Source organism: Homo sapiens, chromosome 6, assembly GCF_000001405.40.
Source record: "Homo sapiens chromosome 6, GRCh38.p14 Primary Assembly".
Lineage (NCBI taxonomy): Eukaryota > Metazoa > Chordata > Mammalia > Primates > Hominidae > Homo > Homo sapiens.
In genome coordinates, this window is record NC_000006.12 from 41,014,144 (window position 1) to 41,041,385 (window position 27,242).

Here is a 27,242-nt window from a genome sequence, read left to right on the forward strand (position 1 = left end):
TGATGTAAATGCAAAGTTATTCACTGCAGGATTTGTTATGACACAGAGACTGGGAAAAAAATCTAAATGTTCACACTTTACTGAATATATTATGGTCCATCCATACAATGGAATATTATGCAACAGTGGAAAACTGTGAAGAAATGTCTATAAACTGATTATGAAAAGATCTCCAAGATCCATTGTTAAGTAAAACAGCAGGGTCCAGAAGAATGTAGAAAAAGTGAGAAAAAGTAATATGTATTCAATATGCATAGACTATATATTCAATATGTATAGAATAACACCAAAAGAAAACTCAAGAGATGATAATATTGGTCTCTGAAGAAGGGATCCAAGAAGCCAAAAGACAAGATAGTCACTGACTTTTCTTTCATATATTTTGAATTTTAAAATGCTGAAGACAACTAAATTTTGTTTACAAGCACGGGACTTGGAGTCAGACAGACCCAGGTTCAAAACCCAGATCCACTGGCTATGTGATGTTGGGCAGGTCACTTCAGATCACTTTAATCTCTTTGAGCTTTGTTTCCCATTTGTAAAACAAGGATGAGAATAATACCTATATCACAGGGTGGTTGTGAGCATTCACTGAGATGGTATTTTTAAAAATATCCTATGTGGAGACAGGCATGGTGGCTCACACCTATAATCTCAGTGACTCAAGAGGCTGAGGCAGGAGGATCGCTTAAGCCCAGGAGCTCGAGGTTGCAGTGAGCCAAGATCACACCACTGCACTCCAACATGGGCAACAGAGTGAGGCTGCCTAAAATAGAAAACAAAACAAAATGGGGAGGTAGCTACAGCAAAGATGACTTTTAATAAATTTTTGATGAATCTGCATTTATTCCCTTCTATATGCCCAGGAGAGCATTATAAGGTAAGGTTCAGGATTGCCAGTAGATGGAATAAAGAGAAATGAAAGTAAATATCTATCTTACAAGGAGTGGAGGGTGGCAGGTCCCTCAGTGCATGTGTGCTGAGGAATTCGCATCACTCACATGTGCTGAAGAGTCCATCCAGCTCACCGTTTATAATGCCAGGGTTTGCGGGGGGCAGTCCCCATCACCAGGTCATTGGATCCTCACTGAGGACCCTATGACATGAACAAGCTGGAGACTCCTGGTGCCATTTTACAGATAAGCTCTCCCAGGGAGCTGCATGATGGGCCTAATGTTATTAATCGAACAGACATGAGTGGAGAGGCAGTAGGTCAGTGTGAAGTGAGCATAGGTTCTGGGAAGAAAACAAGTTCTGGTTGGCCATTTAACTGTGCTGAGCCTCAGCTCCTGCAGCCACAAAAGGGAGATCATAACACCAGCTGCAAAATGTTGTGTGAATCAGAGCTTCAGGCACTGTGACCAAGACACGGGAAAGCTCAGTCAATGGAAGCTATGATTATTTGTGTGGGATTATGATTGGAGGAAGGCAGTGGGGCTGTGTGCCCCCAAAAGTGCCTTAACCACTCAAAAACAGAATCTCTGCCATGAAGGAGTTCACAGTCTAATAAGAGAAAGAGACAGATCATCTCTATTCAATAAAGTTCCCCCTAAATAAAAATATGGTTTACATCAGTTAGAATGACGATCATTAAAAAGTCAGGAAATAACAGGTGCTAGAGAGGATGTGGAGAAATAGGAACACTTTTACACTGTTGGTGGGACTGTAAACTAGTTCAACCATTGTAGAAGACAATGTGGCGATTCCTCAAGAATCTAGAACTAGAAATACCATTTGACCCAGCCATCCCATTACTGGGTATATACCCAAAGGATTATAAATCATGCTGCTATAAAGACACATGCACACGTATGTTTATTGCGGCACTATTCACAATAGCAGACTTTGAACCAACCCAAATGTCCATCAATGATAGACTGGATTAAGAAAATGTGGCATATATACACCATGGAATACTATGCAGCCATAAAAAAGGATGAGTTCATGTCCTTTGCAGGGACATGGATGAAGCTGGAAACCATCATTCTCAGCAAACTATCGCAAGGACAGAAAACCAAACACCGCATATTCTCACTCATAGGTGAGAATTGAACAATGAGAACACTTGGATACAGGAAGGGGAACATCACACACCGGGGCCTGTCATGGGGTGGGGAGCGGGGAGGGACAGCATTAGGAGATATACCTAATGTAAATGATGAGTTAATGGGTGCAGCACACCAACATGGCGCATGTATACATATGTAACAAACCTGCACGTTGTGCAGGTGTACCCTAGAACTTAAAGTATAATAAAAAAAAAAGAAAAGAATGTTCAAAAAAAAATACGGTTTACACAAGTGTATTCCTGTATATCATGGTCTCATTATAGGTGTAGTGCCAGGTGTTCCCATCGGCCATGATTAAAAATATCAAGAGGTGGGTGTCAAGGAGTGGAAGGGTGGGAAGGCCGGAAGCAAAGCAGAGAAGTTTGCAAAGATCCCTGCAACGATAAATGAAGATGGGGAGGAGTCAAATGGGGCCTCCAAGGAGCTTCCTTTGCGAGGCATTGGTGAGGAGGGAGTGCAGTGAGCTGTGTACGAGAGGCTGAAGCAGGGACCTGGGCCTAGGGCACCACAGCAAGCATCTTAGGGAGGGGGCTGACAACTGCAGCCCCAGGTGTGCTGATAACATCACATGCTAGTCCTACTTTCCTACTTTATTTTTCTTGCGAACCTTAATTATTCCAGAGACTGAGTCAACAAACAACCCTGAATCATAAAGTCAAAAGGCCTTCACAAAAGGATGCTGATATTAGCACATTGTGAACTTACTCTGTTGGGAATGCGATCTTTCAGAACAACCCAGGAGCAGGGTACTATTTTCATCCCACCCTTCTACAGACGAGGAAGCAGACTCAGAAAGATTCATTCATGTCTGAGGTCACACAGCCAGCCAGGGGCGAAGCCAGGATTCAAGCCAGGTGTGTCTGATGAAAACACTCCTGCTCTTCCTCACTTCACTGTAGGTTTTGAACATACTTTTTTTGCTGCTGTGAAGGAAAATAAATGCAGATGTGGCAGCAGTAGTATATGAATCTATGCATGTGATAAAACGTCATAGAATTATGTACAAGGCATACTAAAAAAAAATGAGTACTTGCAAAAACTGGGGAAATCCGAGGAAGATCTATGATCTAGTTAATTGCATTGTGCCAGTGTTTGTTTTCTGGTTTTGATAATGCACTGTAATTAGTCAGATGTCACCTTTAGGGCAAGCTGGGAGATGAGTCTACAGAAGCTCTCTTTTTGCAATTTCTTGTGAGTCTATGCTTTTTTCGAAGTAGAAATCTGGAAAAAATACATGTAGAAATCTCCTGTTGAAAATACAAACAGGGCCAGAGTAGGACCAAGGAGACTCAACAGCTCCTAGTAAGTAAAGAACAGCACCAGGGCATTACCAGGGCAGTAGGAGCCTTCATTCCAAACGTTAAGAATTACAAAATGATACAGCTGCCCCCTTACTTACAGGACTCTTGTATAGCTTTATTTTAGGGTAACCCAAGTTTTCCAGATTCACCTGGCTACAGGGGGGGCTCACCTTTACAGATATCACTCATGTTTCACCAATCTTTCCCCTCCTTGCTATGACAGAGCTTCCAGCCCACCCCAAACCTCACCCACCCAGTCACTGCTGGGGCCCTCTGGAGGTGTCTCACACAAGCCTACTGGCCAGATGCTGTAGTCTGCTGCTCACCTGCTACCCTGTCTGCAGGTGCCCTCTGTGCCCAGAAATTCCAGGGTGTTGCGTCAGCAGGGCCCCTGTGCCAGGCACAGAGGTGACTAGGGTCTGTGCCCAAGAATGGCCTCTGGATCTTAGCAAACCCCAACCCAATTCCACTGGACTCCCCTGGCCTGAAGCTTCTCTGCATTCCACACAGAAAGTGGGTGGATGCCCACTGAAGGTCAATCTTGATTGCCTGGCACCAAAGCAGGGCAGCATATGTCCAACAGAGCCCTCATGAAAACTGCTCCCAAATCCTCCACTCTGAGGTTTAGAGATGTGTGCAAGGTTTTGAAACACAAATGCAGTTACAGTAAGAGCTAACATTTACTGAGCATTTACTATGTGCCAGACCAAGCAATTCACATGGGTAAACTTGTCTAATTCTGATAGATAGGTAAGCTGCTGCCACAAAGAGACCCATCAATAATAACCCAGTGGCTTAAAGAAGATAGAAATGTAGTTCTCTCTCACATAATCTGAGGGAGTCCCCCTGGTCAGCAGCAGCTTTGCTTCAGGCAGAGTCCACGGCCCAGGTTCTTTCCATCTTGTTTCTCTGCCATCCCCCAAAACGTCCTCAGCCTCATGGTGGCAGCTGGGTCATTGCCATGCCTGTTTGCAGACCAGGAGGAGAGAGGCAGCAGGCACGAGGCATGCTGATCGCCCCACATCACTGGGCCTGGGACTCTCATGCACCACTCCACTCACATTCTGCTAATGAGAACATTCTGCAGGTGAGAACTTAGTTACACAGGCTCACCTAACTGTAGGGAGTCTGGGGAGATGGGGATATGTGTGCCCGAGCAATTCTTTTACAGTGAAAGAAGAGAAAATGTGTTCTGGTGGACCATTGTCCCTCCACCACACTTCCTCACAGGTATGACCAAAGATGTTCAGAATGGTTAAATGCTTGCCCTAGGTAAAAACTATCTAATCTGATAAGTTAATTTTAACCAGTGAAGTAGACCTGGACCCCTTTCAGATAAAATATGCGTTTTGTGTGTTTTAATAGGGATCCAATGGAGATGCAAAACTTAACCCAGAAGCATAGCTCTAGCGGGAGATACAGGGTCGGGGGTTTGGCAGGGCTTTTTGAGTGGCATCATAGTCCGGGCTTTAGAACGGGGAGTCTTGAATGAGTCCAGGTCCTTCATATGGGAAAACCACTAAAAATCTCAGCCCTCAGCTCTGAGACAGAATCCAGGGTGATAATGGATGTGGCACAGCTAGTGAGCTGCAAGTGGCTGTCACATGTAGGGGGTTATTTTTTATCTAAGGGGATCTGCACATCCCACCACCAAAGCTGCCTTTTGGGAAGGTAACAGGTGACCCTGTCCAAGGTCTGGGCTGAGGATGAACAAGTTTCCAAAGGTGAGCTGCAAGGAGCTTGACAGGAGTGTGTGTGTGTATCTGTGTGCATGTTTGTGTTCGTGTGCACACATTTGTGTGCATGTGTGTGTATATGTGCAAATGCACACGAGCAGCTTCAGCCAGCTGAGCAGCCAGTCATTTATTCATATGGATGACTTGATTTTTGATTGAGTTAACAAGTACTTATTAAACACAGTTTTGCAAAGGCCTGCAGTAAATTGGAAGCTATACAGGAACCCTATAAGTTTTTACAACCCTGCATTCTTCAAATATTGGAATAATATAAAAGATAAGTAGGGAGTAAGAGGAAGGAAGAGCAAACACTAGAGAAGGAGGAGCCATGGGAAAGTGGGTTAGAAGAGAAGGAGGAGGGTTGGTTGTCCTTCTGGTTTCGAAGCACCAGTGGGTCCATTCACCAATGAATACAAACCAACCTATTGTGCAAATTATTAAACTACATCATCTGTCCTAGTCTGAGCTAATATTCACTACAATGGCTCATGTTGCTGAGTGCTTACTAAGCTCCAGGCACTATACTAAGTGTTTTATATATTCTATCTCATTTAACCCTGACTACCCTGAGGACTGGCACTATTATTGTGGCTCTGTTATTAGCCTATTTTATGGGTGCAGAAATGAAGGCAGACAGATGTTAAGCAACTGACTCAAGGTCACACAGCTAGTAAACTGCAGACTCAGGCCTGTCTGATTCCTAACCTAACCACCATGTCTAACACTTGTTGCCCATAGGCCTCAGTCTCCTCGTTTGTGAAATGGAACCACTACATCCAGCTTTGCTTGCCCTATGGGCTGTTGCAAGGATCCACTGAGAAGTGATTGCCAAGGTGCACTGTGAACTTACAAAACCTAATGTAAAAGAATCAAACCACATTGCTCCAAGTTTTGCTAAGATGAATCTACCTTAGGATCATCTAGAGAATAAAACAGTTACTAGCAACCAAGATTAAATTAAGCCTCCTCTGTTTGGAAACAACTTTAGAGGAAGGATGTTGTTGATTTGCCTGGCAGAGAATGGTTCCAAGCCTAAGAGCTCACAGTTGTTTTTATCCCAACCGCCTTATCAGAATATTTAGGAATCAATAATGTAGTGGCATGCTCTGAGGATTCTCAAGAAGTCCTATGGCGAGCCCCACATGCAGAAAAACTAAAAACCCCTGGTCAATAATCAACACCAACTTGCCAGCCATTGACTGGGTCACTGTGGAAGTGGATCCTCCAGCCCCAGTCAAACCTTCAGATGACTGCTGCCTCATGGAGTCCCTGAACCAGGAACTGCTCCTGACTCCTTGAGCCACAGACACAGTGAGAGATTATAAATGACTACTGTGTGAGGCCACTAAGTTGGAGGGGTTGGTAATTTGTAATACAGCAATAGATAATTCATACAGCACCTATGATACCTTGTGACTTAAGTACAAGGTTATTGGGTATTAACCAAAATTCTAGTTTTCAAGCAAGAGAAACTATTCTGGTACATGTAAGCCAAAGGGGAATTTTCAGGGAGGGCGTCAGGGCTCATCAAATCCAAGAAAAGACTGGAGACTCAAGTGTAGGATCCTCTGGCAACAGAACTCCAGCTCCAGTTCAGGGAGAGGAACAGCCAGGTTTCCACACCTCCATGGCTCCAGAGAGCCACTAATCATTCCACACATCTTGATTTAGTCCGTTCAGACTGCCATAAAGAATACCAAAGACTGGGTGGCTCAAACAGCAAACATTTGGTTCTCACAGTTCTGGAGGATGGGAAGTCCAAGATCAAGGTTCTGACAGATATGGTGGCTGGTGAGGGCCCTTTTCCTGGTTCTCAGACCACCATCTTCTCATTGTATGCTCATGTGGTAAGAAGCAGAGAGAAAAGAAGCAAGTTCTCCTGTGTCTCTTCTTATAAGGGCACTAATGCCATTCATGAAGGCTCCACCTTCATGACCTAATTACCTCCCAAAGGCCCCACTTCTGAATAGCATCTTATTGAGGGTTAGGATTTTAACAAATGAATTTTGGGGGCACACAAACATTCAATCCATAGCACAACCTCCGTGTACTCACTGAGGATTCAGTGTCTAGAGTGACAGAGACATTGATCATGTTCCAGCCCCCTGACTGCACCAAGGGTGAGAGAAAGCATCTGCCCCTTGGTATTATTTCCCTCTGAGACAAATCCCACTAGGGAAAGATGATTCTTGAAAGCAAGTCATGGTGCTTTTAGAGAAGGGGATGGGATGCTCTGCAGCCAACATCAATAAATGCCCAGCCAGTGGTCATTAGATGGTGTTACAAAGAAGAAGGCCTTGAATAATACTGAACCAGGCTACGTGTAGGCTGTGGGCTTTATAGTCATTAATCCTCACAATAATCTTAAAAGGAGGATGATATTATCCCCGTCATCCAGACAAGGAGGCAGAACCTCAGATACATTAAGTAACTTGCCAGAATCCACGTGGAAAGTGATGAAGCTGGCTTCTAAGTTAAAGTCTATGGGGTTCCAGAGTCCTTACTTGTCCCACATAACCAGGCTTCCAAGAAGGGCCTCAAGGGAATGGAACCACATTCTTGCTTTGATGAAGTCAAATAAATTAAAAAGAGTTTATTAAGGGAAAGAGACAGAGACTGAAGTAAAGGGTTCACCTGATCTTCTCCCAAGGAAGAATGTGCCTGAGTCATATCTGACTGGCTTGACCCAGAAAGAAGAGGGTAGTCACAGGCAGAAAGGAAGGACAACACAGGCACACAGAGACGGGCGGTCTCCAGAACTCAAAACTTCCCAAGGGTTTACACCCTGTGTACTGAACATGGTCCGCTTCTGCCACCTAGCCACAGATGGTCTCCTCAGCCACAGCACAAGAAGCCCAACTGTGGTGAAAGCCTGTGGGTGGGTATGCAGCAAGCACAAGCCACATGTAAAGGCTTTCCTGGTAAATTTCCAAGATGACCAATGCCACTGAGTCCTCTTCTCTGTCATGTGCCTTCTTCATATTTATCCGAGATTCCCAGGGACAGGATGGCCAGCTCCTCCTTTAGATTAGGGAGGGTGGGTCCTTCCCCACCCCCATCTATACTCTCTGCCCCACTAAAGAACTTTTCTATAATCCCATCTTCACCATACTCAGCATTTGCCAAATATTATTCTTCATTTTCTAATTGTGTCTTTTCTAGTTTGTTTGGAAATGAAATCTGGTTTCACCTGAAGGTTGAGAGCTAATATGAAGCATATTCCTGCCCTTGGGCTAATATCTTTATGACATCATGACACTAACCAGCTAGAACTGACTTAGTTTTTGTTGGCCAGAAGCCATAACATCTCTGCCAACAAGAAACTAGCATAGGCTGGATTAAAGTCAGCATGAGAAAGATTACCTGAAGATAAGAAAATAAATGAAGGCCCACCATGCTTCTAAGCACATAGTAAATAGTCAAATATGTGCAGAGGAGATGCATAAACATATCTGTGCAAGGCTTTCAAAAGGATCAGGAAGACAGGTCTCACAAAAAAAGCATTTCCAGGCTTTGTATTTTACAGACCAATATTTTTGTGTTTTGTTTTTTATTTTGGGGAGGAAAATCCACACAGGATTATTATCTTTTTACTTTACCAAGTAGAGACATTTTAATAAAGCTTTACCATCCTTTCATAAGATAATAGACCTGTTAACACAAGCCAAGTATGAAGTATAATCACAGAATAAAGGACAGTCTTTCCAGGGAAAAATCATCGGCACACTGGATACGGGTCTTTGTTTTACACTATATAGTCCCTCTCTGGCTAGTTTAAGCACAAACAATATATTATGGAGCCCAGATAGATAGTTCACAAATCACTGGAAAGGCTGTAGGGATATACTCCAAGTTGAATTCCATATTAACACCCCAAACTATGCCACGTAACTTACCACTGAGGGAGCTGCTGCCACAGCCGCTGACCACTCTAGCTCCTCAAAATGAGCACCAGCTCTGTGCCCTGTTCAGCTCCCTCCATTATTCCAAATTACCCCTCCATATTCCAAATCAAAGTCCTGCATGAGTCCCAGCTGATTGGCTGAACCTAAGCATATCTAGATCCCCATCTGCCAAGGAGTCTGGGAAACGTAGTTTTAGTTTTCAGCCTCTGCAGTACAGGGAGGCACAGGGGCTGGAGAAGGCATGGAGTGAACCAGTTAGCCACTGTTGGTGAGCTTTTTGTCAGACCACAGCACTTCTAAAACATGTCAAGGTCTAAGCCTGGGTTACAGAATCACATTTGGGTGTACTGGCATGAGAGCCATCCTAAGGAATGTGTGCAGTCACGCTTTATTGAGAAGATTCTGAAGGTCAGTGGTCTTACACAGGCACCTTATCAAGGTTCTGACAGATATGGTGTCTAGTGAGGGCCCTCTTCCTGGTTCTCAGACCACCATCTTCTCATTGTGTGCGCCCATGTGATAAAAAGCAGACAGAAAGGAAGCAAGCTCTCCTGTGTCTCTTCTTATAAGGGTGCTAATGCCATTCATGAGGGCTCCACCTTCATGACCTAATTACCTCCTAAAGGCCCCACTTCCTAATACCATCTTATTGAGGGTTAGGATTTTAACATATGAATTTTAGGGGCATAGAAACATTCAATCCATAGTACATCCTCAGTCTACTCTGCTGCCAGAACCTTGATATGGCACCTACTGAGTGAATGGCTGTTCTTAAGAAGGGAATTTGCTGCCTGAGGCTACAGCATGACCACACTCTGACTGTAGTAGACATCTGTCATATTTGTGGCTTCTCATCAACTTTTGAGTAGCTTTCCCGTATCTGGGGATATTCTCATGTAATAAGTCTCATCTCCCTAATATTGAAGTCAGAGATCGAGTCAGAGTTCAGAGCGTTCAGGTGTCTTTGCAGCTAAGATTCAGGGATGTGGTCTGAGCTCTCACAACCCAAGGCCTCCACTAGAGATTTGATTCAGAAGTGAGTAGCATAAAGAGCAGGCAGTGCACGGAGCTTCTGTTTTTGCTGGCATGGAAGGCAGCAGAGGCCTTAGCTTTCAGAAGTGGTGGTGAGGGGCCGGGCACAGTGGCTCACGCCTGTATTCCCAGCACTTTGGGAGGCCGACGGGGGCCAATCACGAGGTCAAGAGAGCAAGACCATCCTGGCCAACATGGTGAAACCCCGTCTCTACTAAAAATACAAAAAGAAATTAGCCAGGCGTGGTGGCGGGCACCTGTAGTCCCAGCTACTCAGAAGGCTGAGGTAGCAGAATGGCGTGAACCCGGGAGGTGGAGCTTGCAGTGAGCCGAGATCGCACCACTGCACTCCAGCCTGGGTGACAGAGCAAGACTCCATCTCAAAAAAAAAAAAAAAAAATGTGGTGGTGAGGTCTGGTTCCTGCCTCAGAAGTAGCATCAGTGGTGGTGGCAAGAGTGGCTGCAATAAAGTCAAGTTCCTGGTGTCCAGTGCTCAGTAGCAGCAGCCATAGTAATACCAGTTTCCCTCCATGATCTAGCCCTACAGCACAGTTTAGGGCATTGTTCTTGGAAACTTTACCCCAAATCTATTTCTCCACCCTCCAAATGATTGTTTGTCCTTCAGTTTCCTTTATTAAATCCCATCTGCCTCAACTAGCCAGAGTGAATCCTGTTGTCAGCAACCAACAACCCACTTGATGTGCTAGATAAGCCAGGAACACTGACCCTGAATCTACTGCCTCTACACCAGGCTGCAGTGTGAACCATTTCTGCAACAGAGAGTATCGGCCTGAACCTCATCTCCCATTGCCTTCTTGAGTCAGGTACAAAGAAGGATGGGAGGAAAGCGTACTTCCTTCTGACTCCCAGCTTTCCAGGAGCTCCTACAGAACAAGAATGTTTCTTCTTCACTGGATTGTTATCACCAACAATTTGTGCAGGGCTTAGCACAGAGTAGGTATTCAGCAAATGTTTGACGAATTAATAAATAAGTGAATGGTAAAAACACTATAAAGTTATACCCAGCTGGATTCCTAACCCAGATCTGTGCTGTCCATTAACAGTACCCACTAGCCACACATGGCCACTAAACAACTGAAATGTGGCTAGTGCAATTGAGGAACTGAATTTTTATTTTATTTCAGTGAACTAAAATTTAAAAACTGATACCTAATCCCATTTTTGGAAAACTTTTGGCTCATTTGTGTATGTAAATGTACATTTTAGCTATAAATTGTATAAAAGCTGAATACAGATGAAATCTTTCCAATGAAAAATTAGCATACAAATTGAGATGTGGTGTAATTGCAAAGTATACACCAGATTCCAAATAATATAAAAAAGAATGTAAAATATACTATTAATGTTATATTGATTACATGTGGAAATAATATTCTGAATATATTAGGTTAAATGAAACATTAAAGTTGACTTCACCTATTTCTATTTACAATTTTTGATGTGACTACTAGAAAGTGTAAAATTATATATGTGGCTTTCATTGAATTTCTGTTAGCACAGATCTGAACATTAGCATAAATATTGCTCAGTGGTCAAAGGGGATGCCAAGGACACACATTTCCTCTGAGCACTAGAGGCTCCAACCCCACAGACCTAGGCCCAACCTTACCCTTTCATTTCCCCATCGCCTTTCCCCAGACTCCAAATCCAGCAGGAGGAAGTGTAGACGTGGGCCTCTGCAACATGTGAAAAAGCAGAAATCACAAACGCAGTGTTTTTCAGCAGGTGATTTAGGCAACTCTTCATCAGGGAAAGGGCTGGAAGTAAGGCCACAAGCAGTGATCAATTGTTTGCTATTTGAAGGCAATTCAAAAAGAAAAAAAAATCCCCAAGTGAACGTTCCTTGGGTGACCAGTGTGCCACCTCTGCATAAGTCTATGAAATCAAAGGCCCTGGGACAGCCTCTAATATGGTAGCTTCATTCCAAGGAAGAGTTTAAAGCACAAAGAAGAGCTGTTCTAGTTAGTATGAGTCAGGGCTAAATGTTAAGTCTCCTGATGCTCACTGGGGCACACCATCTCTCAGCATTAGGTGCCAATACATAACATGCCAAATGGGTTTGATGTGAGAAAGGAAGTGTCTGCCTTATAGGAATCACTTGGCCTGCATCTACCCCAGGATTTCCAAGCCTCCCTTTGCCAGCACTGGAAACGCATTTTGAGAAATTGGAGTTGGGGCCAGAAAGCATTCTATTCCCATCACTGGAATCTGTGTGGCTTCTATTTGCAACTCCAGTAGATGTGAAACTCTTAAAATGATTTTTTCCAGGGTAGGAAGGAACACAATGATGTCTTTGGCTAAACAGTGCCGGGCTACTGCACAGTTCAATCCTGAGCTAAGTGAAGGGGGAAAAGTCCGGGGCACTAATCTGGCGTGACTGGCAGCACCCGATGGGGTAAGGAGGACAGATGAGAAGGGTAGGAGAGGACTGGTGGGGATAGGGGAACAGGGAAGGGATGGAAAGGCCTGCTTCTGAAGGCTTGCATCTAACAGAAAAGGAAGGGAACCTCCCTGACTTACCATGCGGGACCCAGGTAATTTTCATACTGGAAGCACAATCTACAAAATGCTTCCCTCCAACCCATCCCCATAGGTACAATTTTACCAAATAAAATCATTCATACTCACATCCAAATTTGCCAATCTGAGCAAAATATAGTTAGTAACAAAGGAAGGCAATTTTCATATTTTATCATTCATCATAGAAAAAAAGCTTTAATATTTTTTAATTAAATACAGAAGAAAATTGTGTTGCCAGAGAGATTGTTTGCCTGCCTTTGAACAAATTAACAACACCTGTTTGCAAACAAAAGAATTTCCAGAATGGAGTCAAACCCTTTATTCTCTGTTCAGGACCCAGCCCATTCATGTCTTTTGTATACAGTATCAAACACATAGTAGGTGCTGAATAAGTATCTGCTGACTGAATGGGGTGCCTCTTTTATCCCTATCCTTTATTTCCCAACCCTAAACTGGATCTTGATCCATGGGGAAAATATCCCCACCCATCCATTCCTAGAGTAGCCCTGTCTCTTTCAACAGTCTTTGATACATAACATTGGTTTAGAGACATATGCCTGAAGGGAAAAGAGGGAGGGTTTCAGGCAGAGAAAGAAACACACAAAGACAGGGCACAGAGACTAGGCAGAAACAAAAAGATCTAAGACAGAGAGAGAGAGTAACTGAAACACAGGTGCAGAGCGGGAACAACTGTGGGAGACAGGGACAGAAAAACCAAGTCAGAGAAACTTAAAACGCACACCATTGGAGATAAAGAGATAAAAGGGCTGGGCCAGAATGATCATCTTGAAGTTTCTACTCAGCTTTAATGTTTTCTGATAGAGAAAATGGCAGAGAGAGAGGAAGACACGGCCTAAGCAGGAGGATAAAGAGACAAAGGAAGTTAGTAGAGGCAGAGGCAGCCAGCCAGGCGTGCCTAGCCGGGAAGCCTGGTCCTACCCCGGCCTCACACCCACGGGGATGGGCTCCCATGCCCACTTTCGGCTCCTACCTTAAGTCCAGCCACCCTCTTCCCCTACCCGCCCCTAAAGATCTCCAAACCACTCGGCAAATCAAATCCTCTCTCCCCAACATCCTCCGTGAAGCATTCTCGCTGCTCCAGCCCGCACTCAGCTCTTCCCCTCTCAACTCCTAAAGCCACACCCACCTCCCCTAACCACAGGGCAGGGCTGTTTTCGAGTTTGCCCTTGGCTCCTATGAGCACATCTTGACTCCTGCAAAAGAACTGTGTGCTTGTCAGGGCTCCAGACCCTACCTCCTATATTCCAGTATTCTTCATGACACCAGCCCAATGCCCGGTCTTCCTAAGTGCTCAGTGAATACTTTAGGGCCTGACCGGCCCTAAAGTGCACGCGGGGACCGTGGCCGTCCCCTGGTCAGTTTGGCAGGCTGGCCACGCTGAGGCCATCTCCTGGGCTCCTGCGCCCTCTGCCGGCCAGGAGGGGACCCGCACGCGGGACAGCTCGCGGCCGGAAGGGCGCGCCTGCTGCTGGGAGGCTGGCGAGGACGCGGGCGGCCCTGGCACCGTCCGAGGGTTCTGGGAAGGGTGGTGGGCACAGCCAGGAACAGCTGCTGTGTTCCTCTTAGGCGTAGGAGAACAACCCCTCTCGCCCCTACACCTCCTCCGGCCCTGCCCGCTGGGCGCTCAGAGCTTCTCGTCCAGCTCCAGGCCCTGGTTATCCCGGGCGCCCCCGCGCTCGGGGCCTGGGCTGCCGCCGTGTGTCCCACTCAGGTAGTTCTGGATGGCGGAGGCGCAGTCTAGCCGCTCCATGACGGTCATGAGGTAGTGCAGCTCCTGCAGGCTGCCGTTCTGCTCCTCAAACAACTCCAGGATGGCCGCTGCGGGGCTGCGCTGGCAGGACAGGAACCTGGCCCGAGGTAGGGGAGGAAGAGAAGGGTGTAGGAGCAGGGAGGGGCTCCCCCCCTGCTGCAGGCTCCCTGGGCTGCGCAGCGCAAGGTCCGTCCCTTCCCCATCCTGTAGCTTTTGTCCTTGTCCTGCTCTTGCCTGCCTTCCAGGGCACAGGAGGTGGGAAGCCCCAGGGCTTTGAAACTTGAGATTGTCCTGGCTTGGAGGCCAACTCTGACCCCTACTCCTCTCTAGGCTTCAGTTTCCTCTTATTAAGATGAGGGCTTAGACAAGAGGACCTCTAAGTTTGCTACAGTTCTGATGTTCTGTAATTGCCTTCTCTACCTCCCCCACTCCAAATACACCCCTAGCCTCCCCCTAGCCTCCTAACTCCCTCCTTCCTCCCTCTCTCCTAGGCCACAACATCCTGCTCACTACTAAGGAAACAGTTGCTGTAAACCATGGCTTTTTATCACGACTCTCCCGTCCACTAAAACCTTCCAGAGTCTCTCACCTCCTAACCAGCCCACGCTCCATGAGCCTTTCTGGCTCATCCAGCACCTGGCCTTGCCCTGTCTTTATGCTTTCTCTCCTTTCTCCCATCCTGAACCCCCTTAGCTCAGGCCTCTCTCTTTCTCGCCTTGCACACACTACACCCACAGCCACCTCTGCTACTCCCCAAAACAAAATGGCTGATCTCTTCCCCATCACTTCCTCCCTGAAGCCCTTTCTAGTTCACCCCTCCCAGGTGGAAGAGAACATTCTGCATCCCTCAGTTCAGACTTCTGGTCATAACGCCCGCAGTTCATTATTATTCTTGCTTCAGCTGTTTTCTGTCTCTCTTCAATGTGTTATACAATACTGGATTCTTACAGGAAGGCACAAGGAACACTTGCCTTTATTTTTCAAGCTCTCTGAACCCTTTACTAGTGTGTGCGCTCCTAGGCGCCGGGACCATGCCTCATTCATCTTGTATCATAGTGCTTAGCACAGTTTCCAGGGCATAATAGGTACTTGATAAATGTTTAAATGAATGATTTAAAAATCCACCCTGTAGTTTGCAGACCAGCCTGGCCAACCTGGTGAAACCCCGTCTGTACTAAAAATAAAAAATTAGCTGGACATGGTGGCGTGTGCCTGTAATCCCAGCTACTCGGGAGGCTGAGGCAGGAGAATTACTTGAACCCGGGAGATGGAGGTTGCAGTGAGCCAAGATTGCGCCATTGCACTCCAGCCTGGGCGACAGAGCAAGACTCCGTCTCAAATAATGATAATAATAATAAATAAAAATCCACCCTGTTTTCAGGGTCCAGCTCTAGCCCCATCACCAGGATAAAGTCTTCCCTGACCGCTGCACTCATAGTGTAGTTTCTGGAGCTTAGCTCAGTATTCTCCTGCTTTCTGAGTTCCTTGACAGGGATCATGACTGCACTGTCACCATTATTGATAACATTTATTGAATTAACAAGTGTCAGGCACCCAGCTACATGCTTTACACACATTATCCTATAATCTGTCTTGCTCCTCCTCAGGGCATAGCATGGCAAGCACTCAACATGTACCAAATAACTTCCATGTTAATGGATTCACTGTTAAATGTTAATTGAGCACCTACTATGCACCAGGCATCATTCTAGGTACTGATGATACAGTGATTAATAGAGCTGCCCTTTTATGGGAAATAGGGTGGACAGTAGCCATTCTCTGACTTTTAAGTCACTCCCTTGCCTGTGATCCAGTCTCCAGAGTGTCCTGAGGAACCCCATTCCAGCCCACCCTCCTCTACCATCCACAGACCTCACCCCTCTTCCTACCGGATCTTCATGCCGCAAAGCCCCAGGTGGGAGGCCAGTCTGCGCCAGTCATTGCCGGTGATGCTGTTTGGCTCCAATAACATCCGCAGCTGCTCAAAGAGCTCTGGGGGCAGCCTTAGGCAGGGAAAAGGGTGTTCTTGGAAGAAAGGGACAAACAGACCCACTCTGGTTCTCCCATATGCACCCTAAATGCTGTAGTCACCCTGTGGGTGCCAGGGTAGGAACCCAACATCCCCCAGGCAGCAGCCCAAGCAACCCCCGTCTCACCTATTGCATGGGGGCGGCTGGGAAACAGGTGGTGGCGCTGCCCAGGATTCCTCCTCTGATGCCTGGAATCTGAGGATTTCCATATACTTGGTCTCCAAGCCCTGAGTCAACACAGGGCAGGGAACACACTTAGGGGTCACAAGCCATCCCCCTGAGTAAGAAGCTGGAGTCCTACCTCCATTCCTCATGTCTCTCCTTCAGTCTGTCACTCAGAGCCACCTTACCAGGAGATACAACCCTGCTCCACCCAGCACCCTCTACCCACTGTCTCCCTGTGACTTCAGAACCGCACCTTCAGCCTTATGTTTGCCCCTGAGCTCTTTGGGAACTGGGACATGAAGACCAGAGTGCAGCCTGAGCCACCAGGGGAAGTCCTGGGTGGGGCCGTGGAGCAGTGGGAGGTCATCCAACCATAGAGACACTGATCTCAGCCATATGTGTACCTTCCTCCATTCCAACCTTCCCTTCCTCTTCTCCAAGTGACAACAGGGTATCTGCCTGCCCTCCACTAAGGTGCCACTATGGTTCCCCAAAGACTCTCAACTCCGATTTCTTCGCATCTTCCCTTGGTGCAGCAGGAGAGGAGAGATACCTAACTCCCAGCCTGCCTACTCAAGACCCTCTTCCTGGTCACTTCCCACACTGAAAATACAAAACATCATCTCTCAAATCCCACACTGAAGATACCAAACATCATCTCTCAAATGTAGACAATCAGCCTAGAAAGAAACCATATCAACTTGATGCCCCAGTTCTCTGAGTTGGGAGAAGGGGTTAAACTAGGGTTTGGTTCTTTTAGCTTCCTGCTGGATTCATCCACCGATAGACAAGGAGAGTCAGGGATGAGGGTAACTTGGAGCCCAGATGATCTCAGCCCCTCAAAGAGCTGGTATGGGGGCTCTATGGAAAGTGCCATCTTTACCTATGTGATTAAGACCATAGTTACTGGGCACCAGACCCTGTGCCCACTTTGCCTAGGATTTCCCCCAGGCCCTGCCCTTCCTCTGCCCCTCAGCTCCAACTCACATCCTGGAAGGTGTGCATGGTGACAATGATCTCATTGGTTAGTGCTGAACAGTCCTCATTCTCATCGGCTATAAAGAGAAGGTGACAGCGTGGCCAGTGAGTGAGGAAACGGCCTGGGGTAAGAGCAGGAGAAGGTAAGGGACTCTATAGTAAGACTTGGGAAATCTGAGGAAGCTGGGGTCCAACACTCCATTTTTCTCTCTGCAAAGATCTGTGTGGCTCCTGGCCTTTCAGGGAAGGTCTGTGTGCATGGCTGCATGGGGGTCTGCAGAGCTCCAGGGTTACTGGGAGGGAAGGAGAGGAGACAGGATGGGAAAAGAGAGGGGAGGAGGTACACACAGGGCTCCCGGACTACCTGCTTTTCTCCGGAAGCAGAAGGAGCGGAAGGGGCACTTTCCATGCCAGATGTGGAGATGGGGAACCAGCTGGCAACTGCTGTCATCCACATTCTCCCAACCTGGTGAGTAGGCAGACAGCAGAGGGCCTCAGAGAGTGGGGCCTTAAACAAGTATTGAAGGGGGCTGTGGGGAGGCATGAGGACAGAACAAAGGCAGGAGGGTCTCAAGGGAATGGGAATCCCCAGAGCCTGGGCTGGGACCCCAAGAGGGCCCTTGCACTATAAAAGCCTTCCATCCTTTCCTGCTTCTGTGGGGTATAACCCCTCTCCTTCCCACCTGCCACCTGGCATCACCCTGTCCAAGGAGTGAGTGGCAAGGGCTCAGTAGACAGCAGAGTGGTCAAAGCCCTGGGGGCTCCATGAGGCTACTGCTGGCCCAGAGGTCACAAACAGACTTGGGGCCTGGTGTGGTGGCTCACACCTATAATCCCAACACTTTCAGAGGCCGAGACGGGTAGATTACTTGAGGTCAGGGGTTCGAGACCAGCCTGGACAACATGATGAAACCCCGTCTCTACCAAAAATACAAAAAAATTAGCCAGGCATGGTGGTGGGCACCTGTAATTGCAGCTACTCAGGAGACTGAGGCAGGAGAATAACTTGAACCCAGGAGGCGGAGGTTGCTGTGAGCCAAGATCAAGCCACTGCACTCCGGCCTGGGCAACAGAGCGAAACTCCATCTCGGGAAAAAAAAAGAGAGAGAGACTTGGGATCCCCAGATCTCCAGATGTCCAGGGGAGGCCCAGAACCCTTCATTCCTGTGGGGCTCCCGATCATCCTATCCCACAGGCCACTGCCTCCCTCACCCTCTGAGATGTACGTGAGCTTCAGGCACTGGTCGCCCCTAGCCCCATTGAAGTCGAAGAGCTGGCAGGGCCCACGCAGGCGCCCACCATGGGGCTGCTCGTTGGTCAGTGCCCACTGCAGGGCGCAGGGCGTGTTGTTGAGGAAGTAGATACGCAGTTGCAGATGGGACTGTCCTGGCACCAGCGGTGAGCAGAATACGGCCAGCTGCAGCCATTTGCGGGCTTCGCGCCCCACAGGTGCCTCCAGCACACAGGTGTAGAGGCTGCAGAGGGAGCCAGTGGCAGGCACTAATGTGCAGGGAAGGCTAAGACACCAACACACTGCCACCAGCCTCCTGCCACCTGAGGGGCCTCTGTGGGGCCTTCAAGGAGGTTCAGAGAACACTCGAGGGGAGCACTTAGGGAGGAACTGGTAGGTTGGGGATGAAAAGTGAGCATGTCACAGTGACTGGTGACTGAATGGGGAGGAGAGCTGGCAGGGGAGAGAGGGAAAGTGGGCTCAGGGTGACCATGCTTGGGAGGGCACCCGCACATGGCCCTATTCCTGTCAATGGGTGGCAAGGAGGCTGGGAGGCAGAGGACCTAGGACTCTAGAAAGACAAAGAGAAGAAGGACAGAGATGGAATGGAGTCTTAGAGAACTGGTGCTAAGCCTGGGGACAGTCCTGAAAGGGGCACAGTGTAGAGAGAGATAATTTGAAAGACAGAGAGAGATGGGAAAGACAGGTCCCTCTTAGATGGAGAGATGGTGCTGAGTCAGACACTTCCAGACAGACAGAGAGACAGCAATGGGATTTGCAGTCATGGACATGATTGATGTGAGAAAAACTGCTACAAACATTAGGACAGAGGGGCCAGAAAGAGACACCAGGGGATAAAGGATTTGCAGACCATCTTCTATACAGAGAGATGAAGATAAGGCAGACAGAGAAAGTGGGCAGGAAAGACAGTCCTCAGAGAGATGGGTGTGGGAAGACAGGCCAATGGCATGTGCCTACCTGAAGTGGGAGAGGTGGATGCGACACTCATCCCGGGAGGCGTGGGCCCCCGGCCGCCCCAGGGGCCTCCATACCTTGGCATCCAGCAGGGTAGTGTTGCTGCTGTAGGTGCGAGCATGGCTGGGCTGCTCGGCACAGTGTTTGAACGTGAGAGTGCAAGGCTTCAGGAAGGAGGCCCCATGGGGGCCACATGCCACCACAGGGCTTACCAGCCCCTGGGCTTGGGACAGCGATGGGGCGTCCGACAGGTCCCACACCAGGATCAAAGACACCCGCTCCTGGCGGCCCACAGCCACAGCACCTGGCAGGGAGAGGGAGAGCTGAGATGGGCCTGGTAGGCAGGCACACCCCTGCCCCTGAAAGAGGCCAGGCCAGAGAGAAAGGAGGTGGGGCAGGAGCCCAGGAGAGACCCCCAGCAGGGCACACAGGGAAGTGGTATGAACAAGAGTAAGACGACTGTGGAGCTGACTTGTAGTGTAACCCTAAGCAAGACACTTCCCTTTCCACCCAGGCTGCTGCTAGCCCATAGTGTGCCTTGTGTGAATTTGCAAATGGTGCTCTTCCCTCCCTTTACTAGAGAATTGTCACAGCATACTGATTCATTAGAACAAGGCACTTTACTTCCACCTGCCAGGAAGTTGTCCCAAAAGATATGTAATATGTCCATCCCTGAAGTCAATAAAGCTATACTCAAAATATAAACAATTATCAGAAGTAAAAGGTGTCTATGAACATTGCTCCCTCAGATGTGGTGACCTAATGTACAGTCTGACCAACTGTATGCGGAGATGAGAGCCAGGAGCTGTTACCTGGTGGGATGAGCAAGGAGATGCCTGTATCCTGGAGCATCAGGCAACCGCCGCGGTGATCCACCTCTCGAGCCGAAAACACCAACAGTTTGTGCATCAACTGGCGGACCATGGTCTGGCCTTGAGTGGGTGTGTGTAGCTCCTGGTAGAAGGCAACCATCTCTGGCAGTGTGGCTGGCAGGTGCTGCCTTGAGACCTCATTTTCTAGTTGGGGGGTAGGCTGGGACACTGGTTCCTCTTGACCATTCAGTGTCCAGCAGGCCCCCAGCAGCCTTCTAGGGCAGTGCCATCGAAGGCATTGGGCCAGAAGGAGGACACTTGCCACTGGGACCCCCACCAGCAGTAGGAACTGGGAGGGTTGGAATGAACTCTCCTGGGGGCACATTCGCCTGGTTACTCAATGCCGCTGGCTCTCCTTCACCCCTGTGCCAGCCAAAGCCAAAGGCCTGGTGGGGAAGAAGGGGTCAGTGTCAGGGTAAGCCCTTTTAAGTTGTGGAGGTCAAGGCTTGGCTTACACATAGCTGCAAGTTGTCTTCATTCCAGCGCACACTGCACACTTTAGTCACACCAATTCTTTTAACCTGTCTCTCTTACTCGAGAACCTACCCTGGCTCCCCGTGACCTAATACATCAAGGTAAACTGTTCTGAAGCAGAGTGAGCTTGGGTTTACAGTTAGAGAACATGAGTTCAAATGTCACCTTGGTCACTGTGGCTGGGTAAACTTATCATATTGATGTAAGGCAGGAGAGCCCCAAAATTGGGGCTTAGTTTGGGAGGGTTTGTGGCTTCACCTAGGCAAGAATTCAAGGGTGAGCCAGTGGTGTCAGACAGCAACTTTCACTAAAGTGGCAGAGTATAGCAGCAGCAGAGGTATGCTCCTTACAGAGCAGAGCTAACCCTAGGCAGTGTGCCCAGGGTAGCAGCTCTGGGGCATTTCTGCCATCATATTTATGTCCACTTTTAATTACATGCAGTAAGGGGTGGGTTATTCAGAAATTTCTAGAAAAAGGAGTGGTAGCTTCGGGTCACTGCCATGGAAAGGGGCAGTAACTTCCAGGCATCGCCATGGCAGTGGTAAACTGTCATGGCACTGGTGGGCATGTCTTATGGAGAGGTGCTTTTGGTGCCTTTTCCCTGTTTCAGCCAGTTTTCTATCTGGCCTGGAATCAAATCCCACCTCCTGCCTCAATACTGCTTAATGTACCTCAGTTTCCTCATCTGTCCAAATATCTACCTTGATCTACAAGTGCTGATACAAAAAAATCTATAAGTGGAAAAAGCAAGTCGCAGAGAGATAAAATATTCTGAGCTCATTAATGTGAAAAACAAAACTGCATATAAATAGATACATATTTATGGGTGCATATATGGAAATGTAAAGGTATAGAGAAAGGTCTGGAGCAGTGGTGTACAATAAAAATGTAATGTGAACTACACATGTAATTTTAAATTTCCTGATGGCCACATTAAAAAGAACAGGAGAAATTAATACATTTTATTTAACCCAATATATTCAAAATGTTATTTCAACAGGTAATCGATATAAAATTATGAGATATTTTTACTTTCTTCCTTCATACCCAGTCTTTGAAATCCATGTGTAATTTATATGAACAGAACAGCTCACTTGGGACTGGCTGTATTTCAAGTGCCCAGTAGCCACGTGTACTAATGAATCCGGTCTTAGACTGTGCAGGTCTGGAAGGACACACCCCCAAACTATTCCCATGAGTCACAACAAATTGAGAAGGTGGAAGGTGTGAATAAAAACTTTGTATTTTTTTAAATCCTTTTCTCTGTACTTTGAATTTTTCACATCAAGCATGTAGTTTGTATTAACTTTGTAATTCTTTTCTGAAGCTATTAAAAGTGGGGAAAAAGTGCCTCTTTGTGTAATGGTGAGGATGGCATAAGGTCATGTGAAAAGTATTTGTAGATGAGAAAGCACTGTCCAAATGTATGTGTTTCTTTATGCCCCTCCTTCTGCCAGAAAGGCCTGAAGGTAGCTCACAGGGATAGGCAACATACAACAAGAACAACAAAAGCTAAAAGTGGAAGCAAAAAAAAAAAAAAATGAAGAAGACAAAACACAAAGATGCAGCCCTACAGTGAAGCTGGAATGAGGCAGGGCAAAAGCATACACTCACCTCCTGCTCACCTGGCTACCCAGCCAGGCCACAGGCTGAGACTTCCCAGTAGCTCTTCCTGAGGCCCTCCAGAACCCACCTCCGCCTCCTCCTACTTCCCCTCTTCCAGCCCCTACAATTTCCAACACGCCTGCCCTGTAGCCTGCCCAGGCTCCCCACACCTGCTTAATTCTAGCCTCTGGCTTTTGCTCATGCTGTTTTCTGTTTCTCCACTCACTTGCTCTCCCCACTTGTTTCCTCTCCCTACGTGGATCCTCCCATTCAATAGTGCCTCCCGCTGGTGCACCGGCCTTTGACAGCCTCCAGCTCGCGAAATCTCTCTCCACAGCCATCCCACCATACTGAGTCACTCTTGATTATGTGCTGTCATGTGTGATTTTCCCACTCAAATGAACATTTTCTAAGCACCGGCTGTGTATCGGACACTGTGGGAAGTTCAATCCTGCCAAAGATGACGTCTTATTCCGCTCTCAAGGAGCTTCTGCAGGAATGGAATTCATTGGCTTGGTAGCTGAGTTCTGTGAGGCACAACGTCCTCCTTCAGAGCCCTGGGAGGCCCCTCTGGTTGACTCACTAGAGGCTGCACTGGAAGAGCTTCCAGTATCCAGTCCTCCCCACGCCCTTCACTTGCACTACCCACCTGGAACTGAGGCTTGGCCCACCTTCTTCCTTCCAACCTCAGGACCCATGAAAACTGAAGCCCCTTCCTAGTGCCTCTTAGACCAGGGCAGAACCTCCACTGTATCCTCAGGATTGAAGACTGGGGCAGTACCTGTTTCTCCCATGTCCTCACTGAAAGTGTGAATAAGAAGCGGGGGTTGGCATTGTTCTCTTTGCCTAAAGAGCCAACCCAGCAGACAATGCACCAGCCTTTTTCAACCAGGCATCCTGGAGGGCACACAGGTGAATCAGTGAATTGGCAGTGTCCCAAAGCTGATGGGAAGGGGGTTGGAGCAGCAAGCTACCGTTGATGTCCCATCATTTCTTTTGGTTCTTTCACATTAGTAATAATTATAATTCCAACTGTAATAACAATAGCTAACATTCGCAGAGCTTTACTCAATGCCACTGTGTTAAAGCACTCTCCATGGCTTGTCTCATCTCATCCTCACAGCAGCCTTAGGAGCGAGGTGTTATTTTTATCTCCATTTCACAGATAAGGAATCCGAGCTTTCTCCCCACAGTGAAGATGGATAGGGAATTACTAAACAACTGAAGACAGGCAGGAAGGAGGAGCAAAGACGAACAAGGACTTCCAGAGATACCCCCTTTCTCTCTCCACCCCTTCTTTTCCCCAAGTATCTTCCTTTCCTTCTCTAGAAGAAATAAAGTTGGAAGAGAAAGAAGCAAAAATGAAGTAAAGACAAATAGAAGGACCTAAATTTACATCCTCAGTTATGTGGTAATACCCACCCCACTACACCACACCCCCACCTACCAAGGTACCAGTGGCAGGGGATGGAATTGCTAAAGGGATGAAAGGAGGGGCCCCAGCTCGCTTACACAGCAGTAACCTTCCTGGGGCCACCAAAGACCAGAGTCCAGATCCCCAGTGAGGTGCACCTCACTGGGTGGTGCAGTAGAGTCCCCTGGCTCAACCTCCGACCCTGGAGAAGTTGGCATGCACCACTCCCAAAGCCCCACTGGGCCTCTCCCAGGGTGACTGCTCTTCCAGGCTGCCCTGGCCCTCACTGCATCCTCCCTCTGGCTCCAGAATGGGGAAAGGTCCGGAGTCTTGCTGAATGGCAACTATAGCACTGCAGCCATTCGAGTGTGACTTGGGGCATCCCAACCCCATGCCTGGACTCCTCATTACCCACTCCTCCAGTCTGTCTTGCTCCAGACCCCAGATCACCCTGGGTAGCGGGTCCCCGAAACGAGAGTCCTTTAGAATGCTGCCATCACCTGTCCCTAGGCAGTTGCATCCTCCAGCACAAAGATCCAAACTCCTGCTGCAAAGTTCTGCTCATACCCTTTAAGAAAACTCTCAACCTTTCCTCCACCTCACTGGTTCTCCCTGTGCCTCCCCAACACCTGATAGATGTCCAGTTACTGCAGAACATAACAAGTACTGGGATGGATGGTCCAAACCCAAGTCATGAATGGCATTTGTTAGTATAGTAGACATTTCCGCAGGACACAGAATCATCCCAGTGGTCCTCATACCCATTGGCCAAGTCCCATTTTCCTCCCCTCCTCCAGCAGAGGGTCCCTACACTCCAGCAGGCAGGCTAAGCTGGCCTGGCTCCTCCCCCGAAGCTCCAGGTAACCCCATCACAATGCCCATCCCCTCTCCAGCTGCCCCAAGGGGGTGCTCAACTTACCGTCTAGGAGCTCTTAGAGGCTGCTGGCTGGTCCAGTTCCTTCTCCGAGAAACAAGGGTCAGCCAGATTCAGTCGGCAGGCCAGCAGACAAGTGGAGGTGGGCGGGGAATCCAGGCAGGAGTGGCCTGGCATTTCCTGGCAGAGCCCTGCCTCCCAGCTGTCTAAAGAGGGGTGAGGGAGAGTGTCCCTGTCTATTGGCAAAGTCCAGCCCAGGTAAGGGATTAGCTGAGGATCCCAGAAGTCAGTGAACTTTCCAGTCTAGGTCTGGAAGGAAGGAGGGAGGCAGGGAGACAACCTGGGTGTAGGTGCTGCACCTTGAAACCCCTCCTTACAGTGCCCTCTGCTGGTGAGTGGCTGTCCCCAGCCAGAGGCTATTATTAAAATAGCAGATAGGAGGAGGAGGGAACCTTCATCTGAGTTTCTTAAACTATAATGTGCACAACAGTCACCTGGGAGATCTTGTTAAAATGCAGGCTCTGATTCTGTAGGTCTAGTATGGGGCCTGAGATTCTGCAGCTCAAAGAAGCTCCCAGCTGATGCCAATGCAACCGGTCCAAGGAGCTTAGAGAGCATCTAGTTCCACCCGCTCCCCACACAGAGAAGACAGTGGAGCCACTGAGACGGTTAATGACTCACCAGTTGCTGGTGGACCTGAGATGTACCCATATTTTTCCTTACACAAGGTGCTTTCTACTTCCCCCACCCAAAGTTGGCAGAGACACTGCCGGTTGGGAGACAACTGAACTTTGGGGCCATTTGCCATTCTGAGTTCTTAAAACTCTGCCTAGGAGCGGTGGCACCACAAGAATGAAAACTCCTTGTGGAACTTTTCCCATGTTTTCGGCTGTCTCCTCAGCTCCTGGTACAGCCTGATAGATAGAAGGTGTTCAATAAACATGTCTTGAATGAATGAGTGAAGCAGTTGAGAGGGAAAAGGATGCATTTTGGCTCCAACTGGCCAACACTGAGCCCAGGTGAGCCACACGTTGGGTATGTAATATTGGGCAAGCTACTTAACTCCTCTGAACCTCAATTCCCTTGTCTGTCAAATGCAGTTAAGAATATCTACCTTGTGTGAGATAATAATTGTCATTATTGAGCTAATAAATGTCAAATGCCCACCACAGAATGGGTGGTCAATAGATGGTAACCGTTGTCACCAGGGTCTGGCCTCCTGCAGTTGAGGAGGCATGGTGAACGCCCCCCCAGGCCCCTAGTTATCATCTCCCATAGAAAATAAGTAACTTCCTCTGCTTTTGTCTCAGTTAATAATTCTCTAGCCTCTTGTCTCTGACTGCAATGCCCTCCCCTCTGCTTCCTTCCCTGGTGGAGGTGAGAGGGTGGAATAAACCTCCCAGGGGAGCCCAGTACCCCAAAGTGCAGAGATGGTAGAGAGCGGGCAACCTGGGAAGCAGACCTCATGCCTAAAGACAAGCCAGGAAGGGGTGCTCAGAACTTTGATAGGGAATGAAAGGAGTGGGGTAGGGGTGTTTGTCTTTGTTGAACAAAGCTCTGTCTGAGTCACACAGGAGGCTGGACTTTGCCAACAGACAGGGACACTCTCCCCTACCCCTCTTTAGGGCGGCTGGGAGGCAGGACTTTCTGCCAGGAAGCGCCAGGTCACTCCTCCTTGACTCCCCACCCACCTCCACTTGTCAGCTGCCTTCTCCTCTGAGTCATAAAGTCCTAGGGGTTTGTGAAAGATCTGTCAAGCTAGGGTTCTAAGCCAGGAAGGTCATGCCAACCAGGAGGCTATAACCAGGGGCTGTGTTCATGGATTATGAACTCACTTCCCAAGCTAGTTCTTGCCACTCTTGGGGACAATCCCAATTATAAGGAGGCTCTGAAGAAATGTGAAGGCTCCTACCACTCACTCCCATGGCCACAGAGCTGGTTCATGGGATGCAAAGACCACAGGCATCAACAGCATTATAACTGGGGGCTGAGCTGTCACAGGAGGGCCAGTGTCAAACCCTCACCACAAGCCCTCAAACATTCCATCAAGGGGTAGCCTCCAGAGGCCAGGCACCAAGGAGGGTCTGGCAGACCAGAGGGGCTCCTCCTGAGAGGAACTCTTTGGGGCCATGAAACAGCAACTTGGACTTCCCAGCCAGTGTCACCACCCTTCTCATCTGAGAAAGGCAGATCAGCAGGGAGCACCACTCCACCCTCCTCCCAGCCCCACCCTCCTCCCAGCCCCACCCTCCTCTGCCTTCCACACATC

General features: G+C 48.2%; 1 protein-coding gene and 1 long non-coding RNA gene across 2 annotated transcripts in view, besides 3 other annotated features; both read right to left on the reverse strand.

Moving 5' to 3' along the window:
• Positions 1-9,137, reverse strand: part of LOC101929555 (uncharacterized) — a 144,395-nt gene extending 135,258 nt beyond the window's left edge. The window contains exon 1 of the long non-coding RNA NR_110873.1: positions 9,003-9,137. This is a non-coding gene — a long non-coding RNA (uncharacterized LOC101929555). The remainder of the gene's footprint in view (positions 1-9,002) is intronic.
• Positions 9,138-12,751: 3,614 nt separating this feature from the next.
• UNC5CL (unc-5 family C-terminal like) lies at positions 12,752-25,078 on the reverse strand. Its single transcript, NM_173561.3, has 9 exons — positions 25,019-25,078; positions 20,547-20,992; positions 19,738-20,038; positions 18,741-19,003; positions 17,893-17,994; positions 17,538-17,605; positions 16,512-16,612; positions 16,245-16,358; positions 12,752-14,452 (listed from the first exon to the last, which is right to left on the reverse strand). The coding sequence occupies exons 2-9, from the start codon at positions 20,929-20,931 to the stop codon at positions 14,230-14,232; spliced, it is 1,557 nt and encodes a 518-aa protein (NP_775832.2). The 5' UTR covers positions 20,932-20,992; positions 25,019-25,078; the 3' UTR covers positions 12,752-14,229.
• Positions 13,566-13,635: an enhancer, noted in NCBI's record as "active region_24498". NCBI's record gives its function as "activates an Ori minimal core promoter by ATAC-STARR-seq in GM12878 lymphoblastoid cells {active_cell/tissue: GM12878}" and the evidence as "EXISTENCE:reporter gene assay evidence [ECO:0000049][PMID:35858748]".
• Positions 13,706-13,905: an enhancer, noted in NCBI's record as "active region_24499". NCBI's record gives its function as "activates an Ori minimal core promoter by ATAC-STARR-seq in GM12878 lymphoblastoid cells {active_cell/tissue: GM12878}" and the evidence as "EXISTENCE:reporter gene assay evidence [ECO:0000049][PMID:35858748]".
• Positions 14,046-14,155: a silencer, noted in NCBI's record as "silent region_17171". NCBI's record gives its function as "represses an Ori minimal core promoter by ATAC-STARR-seq in GM12878 lymphoblastoid cells {active_cell/tissue: GM12878}" and the evidence as "EXISTENCE:reporter gene assay evidence [ECO:0000049][PMID:35858748]".
• Positions 25,079-27,242: the final 2,164 nt, after the last annotated feature.